Consider the following 16,370-nt stretch of genomic DNA (forward strand, 5'->3'; position numbering starts at 1 on the left):
CTGCATTCATTTTAGCCAGCAACAATAAGACAAACTCTGACAATTTACATCAGGGCCCACACAGTACATTTAAAAAAAAAAAAAAACCTAGTTGGGTGAATCTTACATTTAACACTTTCTTAATTGTTTTTTTTCTGTAACCCAAGTAGTAAACCACATACAAAAGACTCACCTTGAATTGTGAAGCTGTTTATCAAATGTTTAAGAGAATTTACACAAGAATGTTTTGACCCCACAAAAAATAATGTGCCTAAGCTTTAAACAAAATTCACATTTTATTTAGATTGAAATAAACTATACAAAATTGATTTTCTTCACCAAAAATAACAGCAATATTTTCCATATTTTTCTAGATAAACCACAACACTTATTTTGTAGGTTTTCCAGGTTTTGCTTATAAATCAAGATGAGGCAGTATATAAGAGTCATGGAAAAAGACAGAGAAAAAAAACAGACAAATCAGTTGTCAGTATCCATGGCCTCTGATTCTGTCTCAACCATGAAACAGAAGTGTTCAACATATACCTGCTAAAAAGCTTAGGAAGATGTAGGCTCCACAAAGGAATGTAAACAGCAACGAGATGTGGAACAACAGCAGGCTTTTCCATTCAAACTTTGTCATTTGTTTCTTTAAGTTCAAGAAAGACAAAATCTACACTGAAATCCTTGTTTGGTGAGCTCACAAGCTTTTCTCCGGTAATTTCTTGTAACTGTCCAGTATAGATTTTTAACATACTTAAAACTCCTATTAGTCAAAGGTCAATTGTGGGCTTCACTACAACATTTTATAAAATGTATTCCTTCCTCCCACACCTCTTCAAAATATATTTCTTCAAAGAATTCATAACACCCAACAAGTAGAGATCCACAGTGATAATAAATGCTATGTCTAAAATGACTTAACTGAAACAATTCCAGAGTGCCATCAACAGAGATCACGCAAAAGGAAACATGGCACTTTCAACGTTCTCTTCTGGAAGAACAGGTAGGTCTTCAAAGCTTGAGAGTTCAAACAGGGGCCATTTAAACAGGTAGATTATCAATGGCTAATGTATTCAATGGAGTCCTATAGGCAAAGATATTTAGTGATTAAGTGGTCTACATACACCTTACGGCTTTTTCTTCCAAATATCAAATATAAGAAAGCCTATTTTTAAAAGTCTCTTAGGTATTTTCCACAGTTTCGGAATTATCTGTAGGAAGCTCTGACTTACTTGTATAGAGTTTAATATATGTGTCCACCATTAAATCCAGGTCGTGTTTTATATCAAAATTTATGTTAAGCAAAGCCAAGTTACTTGACCTTTGGTCTGTCAAAGTGTTCCTCAAATATGCTTTAAGACGCTTTCGTCCATTTTCATACCGCTCATTCTCAACCTTCATCACAGGAAGAATACACAGGACCTTCAGCAATGCATACACATTAGGAAAAAACTTGATGTCAGGCAGGTGGAGGGCTTCATAGATGGTGGACGGAAGCTCTATATCTTTCCCCCTGTGTTTCCATTTGATTCTCCAACAATGAAGCTCAGCTGACAGCGTGTCAGGATTGGGTAAGTCACTTCTATACATGTCAGCATGGTGTTCCTCCGACGTATTGAATTTGAGTTGTCCCATGACTGAGGGTACCAGAGATAAGCATTTAAGAGCTTTGAGGTGCTGTTCTGAGAATATATCTTTAAGTTCCTGAATAATGTGCTCCACTGTTGGGACACTTAGGGTTTCTTTATAGTAACTCTCAGAGGTTAGCTGAGATTCCAAGTTACCCTGGTGAGCTCTGCGGAATTTCCCAGGGAGTTTCATTTGAATATCAAGTTTGGTTGCCAAATTTGTGGCTTCCTCAAACCAAAATTCATGATAAACTTCAATATTTTCCATCACTTCGTTGAGTGAATGCAGTACTGCAGTCAAGCTACCGGCCGCAAAGAAGACATCAGAGGTTTGCCCCTGGAGGTTTTTCCCAAAGGCTCTTGTAAAAGATAGGACATTTTTAAGAACAACAATAGTAACAATGAAATCAAAATCTGACACTGCACTGCAGAGTACAAATGCTCGGCCAGCTATATAGTTATTCCATCTAATATTTGTGTCACTATTTATACCATCTAAACATAAAACAAGTGCTTGCAGGAGTTCCACTAAAATTTCAAAAGCATCATGCCTGCCTGTCCACTGAGAATGGCAGATTTCCTTCAGTTCTTTACCCCTTTCTTTACTGTTCTGAAAAAGAACAGAAATTACGTTGTCAAGTTCTAAAAGCAGTTGTGGTGATCGATGGAAAAAAGAACAAACTTCCTCAATTGTTCCTAATGCAACAGATACTCCCATAACAGGTACTGATTTTGCCAACCACATATTTAAGGCACAGGAAGAGCAGAGTGTGTAGATAGCTTGGGGATATTTCTCTAAAAGTCTAGAAGCAACAACTTTCATTTTGGAAGAAAATCCACTAGAGACAATGTAAGCCTGGCCACGACAATACTCCATATTTAATCCCCACTTCTCAGTTATCATAGTGTGAAATTTCACAGCCAAAATTTCTGCATCGGCTTCATAAGGCAGGAAGCCTATAAATTCCTCTCTTAGGTTATGAGATTCATCAACAAACCTCACCAACACAGGTAGGTGCTCTTCCCCTGCTATGTCCACTACATCGTCAGTGATAATGGAAAAGAAGTGTGAGTCTCTCACTTCCCTGAGAGTTTCTTCTCGAATACAGCTCTCACAGATCTCTAGCATCTGCCTCTGCTGTGTTTTTGAACAAAACAACGTGTTAACTGCTGTTGTCTCAAACCGCTTTCTCAGAACCTCTTCACCAGAATTTATCCGACACTCCAGCAGTGCCTGAAAGTTATCTGGAGTAAAGAGACCTTCTGGGATTTCATCAGCCTCATGTCCATCCAGAGGTATGTTTTGCTTTCCCATCAGAATCAAGATTTCAAATAGAGATTTTAGGTATTCTTTGTTTTCCTTCTCTTCAAGGGTTAGAGGTAAAATGTCCTCATCTTGCCCTTCACCCTCTTCTTCGCTGGGGTTCTGAGCATTGCTATTGTTGGTTTCTTTATGTTTTTGTTCCTGCTCAGAAGTTTCATCAACTGGAAAACAAAGAATTAATTTTACAAACAGGCTCATGAAAAACCATACACAACAAAAAATATTACATCTTTGGTTAAATATTTAAAATCCACAAACTCATTCATTCAATATTCATAGGGTATTTACTAGACCACAGACTAGGACAGAGATTAAAATAAGACACTAAGATAAGACACATCCTAGTGGGAGAGACAAACAGTGTAAAGAGATATATTTTAATCCTAGATGTAAATGCTGTTACAAGATAGGAATAATTTTTTTTTTTTAAGAAGTAGAGCGGGGAGTCTCACTATGTTGCCCAGGCTGGTCTTGAACTCCTGGCCTCAAGTGATCCTCCCACCTCAGCTCCAAAGTACAAGGATTAAAGGTGTGAGATACCACATCCGGCCTAATTTTTAAAATACACTTAACAAGACTTTCCACATATGTAATGAATGACAGTCCATGCCCTCAGAAAAACAAAGTGGGACAGAACTAATTACTAAGGTACTGTGCTTAGTATTTTATATGCATCACATTACTCTCTGTTCAGGCAGGTGGTATCGGCCCCACTTGACAAACAAGGACACTAAGTAACTTGCCCAAGATCACAAATACAGTTAGAAGAATGGAAGTAAAGTTGAAATCCAAGTGCGTCTGGCTCCAAGATCCATGCTGATGCTGTTTTTATCAAACCATTATGCCACACATTTATATGGGAGATGGGACAGCTGTACAAACCAGTATAATATAAAGGAGATTAATGTAACTCTTAGGGCTAGTATTAGAATATCACACATCTTAGCCTAATCTCTTCACAGGGGATAGGAAAACTGAGGCCCTACAGGCTAAATGCCCTGCCCATAGTCATACAGGTCAGTGGTGTCTGCAGGAAAATAATCCAAATCTGAGGAGGCACAGTTAAAACCTAGTTCTTAGAACATAAGACTAGGGCCGGGGGTGCAGTGGCTTACGCCTGTAATCCCAGCACTTTGGGAGGCTGAGGTGGGTGGATCACGAGGTCAGGAGTTTGAGACCAGCCTGGCCAATATGGTGAAACCCCATCTCTACTAAAAATACAAAAATTAGCTGGGCGTGGTGGCACATGCCTGTAGTCCCAGCTACTCGGGAGGCTGAGGCAGGACAATTGCCTGAACCCAGGAGGCAGAGGTTATAGTTAGCCGAGATCGTGCCACTGCACTCCAGCCTGGGCAACAGAGTGAGACTCCGTCTCAAAAAGAAAAAAGACTATGGAGGGCGGTGGGGAGAAACAAAAATTCAGAAGTTGCATTTGATGACAAGGATAAATAAGGGGGACATGAACAAGGAGGGCATTTCAGTTGGTGAGAATTATTCTAGCACAAGCACTAAGGTAGAAGAGGGAAGCAGGCTGCCCAAGTACAAAGGGAAATCTAGTCTGACCGGAGCCTGTGTGAGCCATGCTTCAGAGCTTCATAAGGGTTCAGAAAAATGCAGGGAGCATCCTTCCTTCACCCCTCCTCAAATCAGATGACACTGCTATTCATTATATGTGACACAGCAGTGGTTCTATACTAGGGAGGCTTCCCAAGCCAGAAAGCAAGAGGTTATCCTGGACGCCTGCCTGTCTGGCTCCCTCCCTCTCTCCTCCATTATTTCTCCACTTCCAATTAACAAGTACTAATTCTCTTGCTTTTATTTTTTTCAAAAAGAAGTTCATTAAAGAGCAAAGAGTTCAAACTGAAAAGTCAAGTCCCTCTTCTTTTGGACATCTTTTTAGGTGTCATAGGTATACAAATTTCTTAAGTTCCTTGAATCTATTCCCTTTACTCTCTCTACCATTGCCTTAATTCAAGGCCTTTCAACTTTTATTTGGTCAGTTGACAGTCTAACTAGCCTCCATGCCTCCAGTGTTACCTTTTCTAATCCAACAGAGTACTCTATGTACCATGGAAATCAGGTCCCTGTTATCACCTACTTATAAACCCCTCAGTGGTTCCCTATTGCTAATAGCCCACAAGTCTGCAAGTTCTGGCCTCTGGGGTCCTCTCTAGGCTATTTTCTAACCATAATGGGTTATCACAAACTTTAACAACACTAAAATGAGTGTAGTTCCCCAAAACAGCACCCTGTTTCGTGCACAGAATACCTTTCCCTCTCTTTGCCCAAGTCCATATCTCCTCATCCATAAAGAGGGAAATAACAGTACTTATCTCACGGCTATTGTGAGAATTAAATTAATTAATACAAGTAAAGCACTTAGAACAATGATTTGGCATCAGTAAGCACTCAATAAAATGCTACGTTAATAATAACAGCAATAGGAGGAAGAAACAGAGGAGGAGGAGTAACTAATAACTGACAAGAAGAAAAACAGCTTCTAGCCCTCGTCCTTTGGTGACATAATTCGGACATCAGCACCTCCAGAAAGGCTGTTGTGACCACTACTCACAATGGCACTATGTGCCCCCACAGCATTTAGTCCTTAAACATTTACAAAGAATTTATTACATACCACAACTGGGTGGACAGAAAAAGAGATTCAGTGCATGCCTCTACTGTTGCCCTTCCTTCCCTACAATGGAGCACTGTGTGCCTGCCACCCCTACCACACTGAGAGAGGAGGCGTCACCTCCATGAGGCCTGCATATAGCATAGTGTGTGGCATTGCAGCACTCAATAAAGACAAACTAAAATTAGACTTTAGTCTCATAGATAATTCCAAAACACAGGACAAAATTGAGCACACTCCTACATTCATTCTCAAGGTAGGTTTTCAACACAGAACATATTTATTTGTCCTTACCAGGTCAAGGCCTTTTTAAAAGGCATTCAGAAGTTGAGTCATTAACACTATCACTTACTTTTTTTCTGTTTCAGTGTCCTGATTTCATCTTCACTCTAAATGTCAAGAAAAAAAAAGAAAAAAACAAATCATCTTTAAAAAACTGACCTCTAGTGTATCATCTTAGACTCACAAATACAAATGCCTATTCTGAGTCAATTTAATTCTTTCAAGAGCATAAATTCTTTATATAGTACACATTCTTCAAACAAACAGACAATGAGAAAACCAGAATAAGCTGTTAATGACTCCAAGGTTATAACAAAGTCTTAGGGAAAAAAGAATACATCATTTTGCTTATTTTCTACCTAAATCATCGTAACTTTGGGTTATAAGTGTTTACTGGCTAATGAAAGGCACAAAAATACACCATGGCACTTGGAGTTAAATTCAAGAGGACACAAATCATCTTACTTCCCAATTTAACCCTGGAGATGTCCCATAAGAAGGAGGTTGCTGAATCTCAGGACTCAACACAAAAGTGATGAGAAATCCCTGAGAAGCAGAAGGTGAAAGTACCAGCATGGAAGAGATACACAGAGCATACACAGAGCATAGTAGGCCAAGTGGCACCAATAGGGTTAGACAAAGGAAGAACTTTCCAGCTGCATCCTTTACTTTCCTTCCAACCCTCTACAATGCTTAAATCATGAGCCACCTGTTACTTTCTGTGGCAGAAAAGCAGCAATGCCAGTGACAGCTGAAGACAGCAGGATGCCTGTTGGGCAGCACTGGACATGGTGCTGATAACAAGAAACATCAGCAGGCTGGTCAACCTGGACATCCCCTCCTTATCCTACGGACTGCACGTTTATAAGGATGGTGGGTCAGGAAGAGTATGCCTGCTGTGAGATATGTGAGGCTCTCTGAGGGACAGACTACAGGGAAATGATAGCTACAGGACAGCAAGTGATTGAGCTCCTCATCCTGATACATATTACACTTCATATCTATGGATTTAACCAACCATGCATTGAAAATGCTGGGGAAAAAATGGATGGTTGTATCTATCTTGAACATGTACAGACTTTTTTTCTCATTCTTCCCCTACATAACGTAGCATAACTATTTACATAGCATTTACATTGTAGTAGGTGTTACAAACACATAAATGTATTAAGTATCATAAATAATCTAGGTATTATTTGAAAATGGATGGTTGTGCCGGGCATGGTGGCTCACGTCTGTAATCCCAGCACTTTGGGAAGCTGAGGCGGGAGGATCACCTGAGGTCGGGAGTTCAAGACCAGCCTGACCAACATGGAGAACCCTCGTCTCTACTAAAAATACAAAAAGAGCCGGGCGTGGTGGCACATGCCTGTGATCCCAGCTACTCGGGGGGCTGAGGCAGGAGAATTGCTTGAACCCGGGAGGCGGAGGTTGCGGTGAGCTGAGATCGCACCCTTGCACTCCAGCCTGGGCAACAAGAGCGAGACTCTGTCTCAAAAAAAAAAAAAAGAAAAGGATGGTTGTGTCTATACTGAACACACAGATTTTTGTTCTTGTCATTATTCTCTAAACAATGTAACAGAACAACTATTTACATAGCACTACATTGTATTAGGTATTATAAATGATTTAAAGTCACGGGAGGATGTGTGTAAGTTATATGCAAATACTACACCACTGTATATAAGGGAATCAAGTATCTGTGGATTTTGCTCTCTGAGGGAAGCTCCTGGAATCAGTCCTCCATGGACACCAAGAAGAAAGCTGATATGGAGGACTGTAATGTAAGTGTCAGTATTCATCTAAGTCCCAGGAAAATAGAAATAAACAAATAGAGGGGAAAATGCATAAAGAAAAATAAAAACTAAGGATTTCTCAGAATTTAAGGTGTAAGTCCTCAGTTGTAAGATGACAAATTAAGGTACATAAAAAAAAAACTCACATCTAGATACAGGTTAGCAAATTTTAAAATGTCAAATATAAAGAAACCTTCTAAAAAGCTTTGAGGGAGAAAAGAAGATTACCTAAAAAGGAACAAGAATCAGGCTGGCACAGACTTGAATAGCAATAATGGATGCAAAAAAATCAGAAAGAATCAACATCACATAGACTATATGTATCCTCTACGTATCTCTTAATAACATTTAAAATTTAAAATATCATATAGCAATTAAAAATAATTCCACATCTGGAAACTAAGAAAAACAATCCTATGTTAACAAAATAGAGAAATTACAAAATACCTACAGCCAGACATGACAACACTATATGTCTAAAGTTGTAGGGTATAGCTAAAATGGACCTAAGAGAGACTTTTATAGCTTTGAATACACATAAATATGAGCTAAACATTCAAGAAGCTAGAAAAAGAGTCAAAAAATAAATCACCCTAATCAAAGAAAAACCAATAAAATAGTTCATAAGTACAACAATCACTGACAAAACTACTGGTTCTTTGAAAAGATTATTAAAGTTTCATAAACTTTTAGAAACATTAACAAAACACAAGAAAGAAAGAAAACCAATAAAGATAGCAGAATGGCAATCAAAACTTTCCCTCATCCACCGCAAGCCATCTAATGGTTTTACCAAGTTCTACCTTACTTTCAAGAGCAGATAACATCTACCTACACAAATTTTTCTAGGAGAAAAAAAAAAAAAAGATACCCAACTTATTTTATGAGGCCAATAGAACCTTGATATTATAACTGGGTAATAAGAGTACATGAAAAGAAGGCTACAGACCAAGATTCACAAATGTAAAATCCTAAATAAAATATTGACCAATTGAATCCAATGGTATATAAAAGCAAATAGACATATTGCAGTCAACTAGAGTTCATTACAGAAATGCAGATGGTTCACAGAAAATCCATTAGTATTACTTATTGCATTAAAGAATGAAAAAAATGAACTTGTCTATTAAATACATGCAATGAAAGCATGTGATAAGTTAAATATAAAAACAGAATATAGGTCAGGCGTGGTGGCTCACTATTGTAATCCCAGCACTTTGGGGAGCTGAGGTAAGAGGACTGCTTGAGCCCAGGAGTTTGAGACCAAACTGGGCAACATGGCATGACTCCATCTATAAAAAAAAATACAAAAAAATAAGCCAGGCATGGTGGCACACACCTGTGGTCCCAGCTACTTGGGAGGCTGAGGTAAGAGGATTGCTTCAGCCCAGGAGGTGGAGGCTGCAGTGAGCAGTGTCTGCCCCACTGCACTCTGGCTTGGGTGACAGAGTGAGACCCCATCTTAAAAAAAAACAACAAAACTCTGAATATGGGAGTAGAAGGGAATTTCCTTAACTTGATAAAAACTATCTAACAATACCAACAGCAAACATTATACTTAATGGGGCAAGGCAAGTATGACATTACTAGAATTGTTCAACATAGTACCAGGGATCTTGACTAAACAAGACAGGCAACAGAAAAAATTAAAATAATAAGAACTGAAAGAGACAAATTTCTCCTTATTTGCAGATGATACAATCAGTAACAGAGGAAAAACTCAGAAGACTTACTAGGATTAACTTAAAAAGAAGTTCTTCAAAAGTGCTGGAAACAATTTCAACCAGAATATATCATCTATACCAGTAAGAACCATAATGTATTTAAGAAGTGATCTAAGAATGCATACATTCTCATTTAAACAACTGTAACAAAAGCTCTCAAAATTTTTCGTTTTCTGTACTCCTAAAAGTATTCTAATATTCTTTTCAAAAAACTAGTATTTAGTTTTGTCAATGATTGCTGTTATTTGATAGGTATTTTATGGGATTTTTTTTCTCTTCATGGATAGAACTAGTTAATACTTTACAATAGTTTATACTGTAACAGTAAACTAGTAATATTCGTTTACTAACAGTAATACTAAACTAGTAATAAATTTACAATAGCTAATATTGTAAAGATGTCAATTCAAAGCAATTATAATGAAAATCCCAAAAGAAGTTCTAGGAGAACTTGACAAAAGGACTTTCAAATTCATATGGAGGAGGCCGGTGGCTCACGTCTATAATCCCAGCACTTTGGGAGGCCGAGGTGGGCGGATCACTTGAGGTCAGGAGTTGGAGACCAGCCTGGCTGACATGGCAAAACCGCGTCTCTACTAAAAATACAAAATTAGTCAGGCGTGGTGGTGAGCGCCTGTAGTCTCAGCTACTTGGAAGGCTGAGGCAGGAGAATTGCTGGAAACCGGGAGGTGGAGGTTGCAGTGAGCCAAGATCATGCCACTGCACTCCAGCCTGGGTGAGAGTGAGACTCTGTCTCGGGGGGGAAAAAAAAAATCCATAGGGAAGAATAAAGGTCCACAAATAGTTAAGAAAAAGAAGAGTTAAACAATCACCTTATTTGAAAGTAAGATATATTACAATGCCATGGTAATAAAACAGTGTGGTATAGTTGCAAACAAATAATACAGTGAAATGGAACAGAACTCCCCAAAACAGCCTCATGTAAACTTGTTATATAACAGAGGTGGCATTTTATACCAGTGGACGAAAGGAAGAACTAACAGACCATGTTGGGAAAACAGTTTCTCTATAAGGAGAAAAAGTTATTATAGATCCCTACTGTACATCATACATACTAACTCCAAATGGATAAAATATCTAAATAGAAAGGTAAGCATAGAATAAGGAAAATTAGATAAATGCTATCTTTAAAAAGCACACAGTAGGTGGACTGATAGGACATATATTAAATACACTAGCATGGACACCAACTGGTAGGGAAAGGAATGGTAATGGTAATAGTGGGTGAAGAAGGAAAAATAATAAAGCAAAATAAGGGCCTTGCTAGTGGCAATGATGACAAAAAGCCATGGACTAAGGAGTTACTGTACTTCTGTTCACCTAAGGTCAACAAAATACAGATAGGTGTCAATCCTCAGAACTGAAGGATATCCAAGGAACATAAGAATATGTGTAAATTATGCCATATACAGAAATTTCAGTGTTTTTTTCTAAACCCTGTACATATTTAATAGTGATAGAAACCTTATCTTTAAAACATTCCATGTCTCCACTTTTACACTTTCCCTTTCTTTATTCCTTTGTGCTGAACTCTGGAAACACCTCAGCTCTATTTTCCTTACTATGAAAGAAAAGGTAGCTTTTTCCTTCTTCTCCAGAAGGGAATGAGCTAGTGGCCTGTAATTAACAGCACACTCTGGACCAAGTCAACAAGTATCAACTGGCTAACTCTGAGGGAGATTTTCCAATTTAAATACTAAAACTCATCATCTCACATCTAGGCTATTTAACAACCATAACATTTATTTCCCGTTACATTACCTCTGAAATAGAGAGTAATTTGGATTAATTTTAACATAAATGCATCTGTATTTGATTTCATAGTATTATGGGGGAAGGTGGGAAAGCTGAAAGTACATAGACATACCAGTTCTTTTATTCGTTTTCTGTGTCTACTATGTGGGTTGTTCAAATGACTGGTAAGATCAAATATTGTTGGTATTGCATTATCTCGAAGAACTGTCCTATAAGGACTCTGAAAAAGAAAATTGTGTTAATTCAGAGATGGTCCTTATAAATATATTACACATCAATAAAATTCTATGTTAATGACCTCCACAATATTCCTTCAACTCCAGCTCTAAAGTATAGAGACTTACAGAATTTGATGTCAGTTCAGGTCAGTCTACTATTTCCAACTGTGCCTGCATTTGCCCTTCTGGCAATCTATTATAAATTAAGAAACTGAATTGAAGGTAGGCATAAAATATAAAATGTACTTGCATTTTGCATATCTGTTTCTAATTCAGCATCCCAGCTACTTTATCTGTACTGTCCTTCCATGAGCCCACCAAATCTACAGGAGGTACAAGTCTCCCAAAATAATCTGCACTCTTGTATGTTCCATAATAATGCATCCCTATTTTACCTAATGTTCCACTTTTGCTAATATTACTGAGAAGCATCAAGGCACAGTGAAAATATTGGACTGGGACCCAGGAGACCTAGGAACTAGTCCAAACTCTACCAGTGAGTGACTCACTAAGACACCCTGGCTAAATTACTTTCCCTTTTTGGGCCCCAGTTTCTTTTTCTGAATAAAATTCTGGTATTGAACTAGATCAACATTTCCTAAAATGAAATTATTCACATACTAATGATCACAATGCTTGCCATTTCAGTTATATTACCATCTGTATTTTTACACAATCTACTCATTTTTTAGTTAACACTGTCTTAAGTAATAAAACTGTAGGAAGAATGATCTGATGTTATCTTATGTTTTTAAAAAAGTTTTTAAACATGTTTTTAACACATACTACAAAACTTCTAAAATAAAAATTGATTCATCTGCCACATGAAACCAACTCTCACGCCACAAGTGATACTGATATACATAATCACATTTTTGCAAATGCTAATCTAGGTATTTCTGTATCTCTTTCAAGTCCTAATCATCTTATGAAAGAATGATCATACTCTACCCTACTTCCTGTTAATTTCATCCAACTTGGCTAGAAGCTGGATGCATACTTAGATGGTAACGGTCCTACTGCCAGCCCTGAGGAGGCTGAGTAAAAGACAAGAAGCTTATTAAGAGGGACAGTAATAAATAACTGCTATTACACTCCCCTCAGACAGTCCAAAGAATAGTGCCTTTAATTTCTTCCTGAATTTGGAATGATAAAGATAAGACATACTTCATTTAAATAAGCTTTCTTTGAAGCAGTGATTATTTCAAAATATCTAAGCATGCTCAAAGAACATGCCAAACAAAAATAACAACTTCTAAATTTGTTCACCCAAGGAAGGGAGGTTGGGAAGACATGAAGGGAAAACATGTATCTAAATGGAACACACTATCTTGGGTTGTACCCAAAGAGTTGTTAAACACATTTGGGATGAATTTCTATTCAGAGTCAATATTTTCTAGTTCAATTCCATGCCATAATAGAAAACACAAAGATGATTCTCTGACTTCCTAGTAACACTCAACTTCTAGTGCTGGGCTCGTGATCCTGAGTCTACTAGGGAGGCTGAATGAGGAATTGGTTAGGGACACAATCACTGAAGGGAGTACAAGTTATTATATTCAAAGCTCCCCCATCTTTCACACCGAGCAAATGTCCCCAAAATAAGCAAAAACACATACACAGTCAATTCTTGATATCTTACTAATTATTAAATAAGGAGGGGAGGAATAAAACATTTTAACAAATTTTTAAAAGTCAAATCAAATTGATTTTCTATTTGCAAATAAAGCAAAGATATTATAGATCAGAAAACAGAATGTATGAATGAAAAAAATGACATTTTACAAATATTTATTTTGGCCAGGAATGTTGGCTCACACCTGTAATTCCAACACTTTGGGAGGCCTTGGCCGGGTAGACGGCTTGACCCCAGGAGTTCAAGACCAGCTTAGGTAACACGGCAAAACTCCATCTCTACAAAAAATACAAAAATTAGCGAGGTATGGTGGCATGTGCCTGTAGTTCCAGCTACTTGGGAGGCTCAGCGGGGAGGATTGCTTGAGCCTGGGAGGTCGGGGCTGCAGTGAGCCATGGCTGCGCCACTGCACCCCAGCTTAGGCAACAGAGTGAGACCCTATTTCAAAAAAAAATAATAATAATAAAAAATATAAATATCTATAAGGACACATGCCAAAAAAGACAATATTCAAATACTACGTATGATACCAAGTATCTCAGTATCAAGATTTAATCTTTAACTGCTGAATTAAGGTTTGAGCATAAAAGAATAATCTTACTCTAGCATCAAAATAATAAAATATTTGGCTCCGGCCAAATTCAGTAGTCATGAATGTTTACTGATGAAATCTTTTTTTTTTTGTCTGTTTAAAGACAGGGTCTCACCACCATGTTGCCCAGGCTGGCTCTGAATTCCTAGGCTCAAGCAATCCTTCAGCCTTGGACTCCTGAGTAGCTGGGACTACAGACACGTGCCACTGTGCCTTGCTACTGATGAGATCTTCAATGCCAAACTAATAAAGCCAAAACTCTTAAACATTTAGATACAGATATCAGAAAATCCAGGGGTTTTTGTTTGTTTGTTTTTGAGACACAGTCTCACTCTGTCACCAAGGCTGAAGTGCAGTGGCACAATCTTGGCTCACTGCAACCTCGGCCTCCTTGGTTCAAGCGATTCTCCTGTTTCAGCCTCCTGAGCAGCTGGGATTACACGTGTGCACCGCCATGCCCAGCAAAATTTTTTTTGTTTTGTTTTGTTTGGTATTTTTAGTAGAGAAGGGGTTTCCCCGTTGGCCAGGCTGGTCTCAAACTCCTGACCGCAAATGATCTGCCCGCCTCAGCCTCCCAAAGTGCTGGGATTACAGGTGTGAGCTACCATATCCAGCCCAGAAATCCAGTTTTTAATAACAACATCTCCTAGACGTATAGAAAGAACATTTTCTCACATTTGCGTTCATTTATTCAAGATTGAAGAATCATTTAGAAATTAAAAAAGCAAACCTGGCTCATCTTTCTGTTCTATTCTCTAACTAAAGAATGTAAGAATGAACTATCCTTTAAATTTCTCACAATCTGGTTAGAATTATCTAATTAAGAGACCATATTTATTACTAAAATAAAAATGCAAAAATGCATATGGCAAATGTATTTAAAATAATTTGGGATATTTTTACTTCATGTCAAGAACATAAAAGTAGTTTGCCTTTTAAACATATGAAACCTTTTATTTTGGTTGATCATTATTACCCTTTTAACAAATCAAGGCAAAAATATTCCTCAAATATTTGTGATTAAACTGTTGAACCGGAATTGGCTCACCTCCCAATGACTTCACAAGTATCTGCTTCAATTAATTTTGAGAAATAAAATAACCCAATCATTCTTTAGTTTTCTGATGCCTCTGCAAAATGTATCTGAAAAAAATATCAAAATAAATTGCTGCATAACAACATATAGTGTACCTTTGAATCAAGTTTATGTCTATCCCAATATCTGAGGTGTTACATTAGTTACACTGAAACAAGTCTGCTTCATTTCAATCAAATTTGCCTTATTTGTGCCTTTTATAAATCACAGCAAGAGAATCACAGAGGGTTAAAAATCTTAGAACTCAGGAATTACCTGGCCTAATCTCCTTATTAGGAACTGGGGCCCAAAGAGGGGAAGTGACTTGGCCAAGCTCACACAGTTAACAGTAGGTCCTGATATGAAATTACATATTATTGATGAAAATGTTTTTCCACATTACCTGGATAATTTGTTTACCATTATATCTACCACATAAAAATTAAAAGTTGGTTCTAATAGTACATACAAAAACATGAAAACAAGAGCTCCATTCCGAGATGAAAATTTTACTCATAAAAAAGCTCTAAAGAGCTCCAAATAAAAACACCAACTTTACCTTAAATAAACATATACTTTTATAATCATCTAAAATTTTCCTGAAGACTAAATAATATTTAAAAGTGGTTACCTCAGCCGGGTGTGGAGGCTCATACATGTAATCCCAGCACTTTGGGAGGCCGAGGTGGGCGGGTCACTTGAGGTCAGGAGATTGAGACTAGCCTGGCCAACATGGAGAAATCCCACCTCTACTAAAAGTACAAAAATTAGCTGGGCGTGGTGGCACAATGCCTGTAATCTCAGCTACTTGGGAGGCTGAGGAGAGAGAATCGCTTGAGCCCAGGAGGTGGGGGAGGTGGCAGAAGTTGCAGTGAGCTAAGATAGCGCCACTGCACTCCAGCCTGGGTGACAGAGCAAGACTGTCTTTAAAAAAAAAAAAAAAAAAAGTAGTTACCTTGGGTGAGTAGAAATGGGGCACCAGGAACCGAAGAGTTTTGTTTTGTTTTGTTTTGTTTTAATCATTTTGAGTTTTTTTTCCAGACAAGCGCTCACTCTGTCGCCCAGAGTGGAGTGTAGTGGCATGAACACAACTCTCTGCAGCCCCGACGTCATGGGCTCAAGTATCCTCCCATCTCAGCTTCCCAAGTAGCTGGGACTACAGGCATACGTCACCACACCTCGCTAGTTTTTTTGGTATTTTCTGTAGCGACGGCATCTGGCCATGTTGCCCAGGCTGGTCTCAAACTCCTGAGCTCAAGTGGTCTTCCTGCCTCGGCCTCCCAAAGTGCTGGGATTATAGGCCCCCGGCAAAATCAGGATTTTAAGAACAAAACAGATACTTTTCAGCTCCAAATCTGTCTTCATCTTAAAGTGGCAGGATATAGGAATACCTTCCAACATTGGTAAATACTTACATTTCCAACCAGACACAGTGAGAGAGAGAAATCAAGTCAAACAGAGAGACACCAAGCTCTTCTATTACTCACAGTTCTACAGATCATAGAGGTCTCAAAATGTTTGGCACATAATCGATAATGTTTATTTAGCTGATCAGGTGTTTTATCTTCTAAGTCTGCTCTCCTACAGTTCTCCACCCACTTCTGGCATCTATAAATAAAACCAAAATACAATTATGAAAATGAGCTCAGCATTTAAATTTCAGCCTTCAGTTTTAAGGCAAACATACATTAATAACAACGGATTC

The 16,370-nt window shown here is 38.1% G+C and overlaps 1 protein-coding gene across 2 annotated transcripts in view; it reads right to left on the minus strand.

The window, feature by feature from the left end:
- Positions 1 to 256: 256 nt before the first annotated feature.
- Positions 257 to 16,370, minus strand: part of THAP12 (THAP domain containing 12) — a 31,177-nt gene continuing 15,063 nt past the window's right edge. The window contains exons 2-6 of one of the 2 annotated variants that reach the window (NR_130898.2): positions 16,153 to 16,273; positions 14,639 to 14,733; positions 11,257 to 11,364; positions 5,919 to 5,955; positions 257 to 3,095 (exon numbers count right to left, since the gene is read on the minus strand). Coding sequence is in view for 1 of the 2 variants with exons in the window: in NM_004705.4 (NP_004696.2) it covers positions 1,165 to 3,095; positions 5,919 to 5,955; positions 11,257 to 11,364; positions 16,153 to 16,273 (2,197 nt within the window). In the remaining variant the exon portion in view is untranslated. The remainder of the gene's footprint in view (positions 3,096 to 5,918; positions 5,956 to 11,256; positions 11,365 to 14,638; positions 14,734 to 16,152; positions 16,274 to 16,370) is intronic. The other variant, NM_004705.4, reaches the window with a different exon arrangement.

This window comes from Homo sapiens, chromosome 11, assembly GCF_000001405.40.
Source record: "Homo sapiens chromosome 11, GRCh38.p14 Primary Assembly".
NCBI lineage: Eukaryota > Metazoa > Chordata > Mammalia > Primates > Hominidae > Homo > Homo sapiens.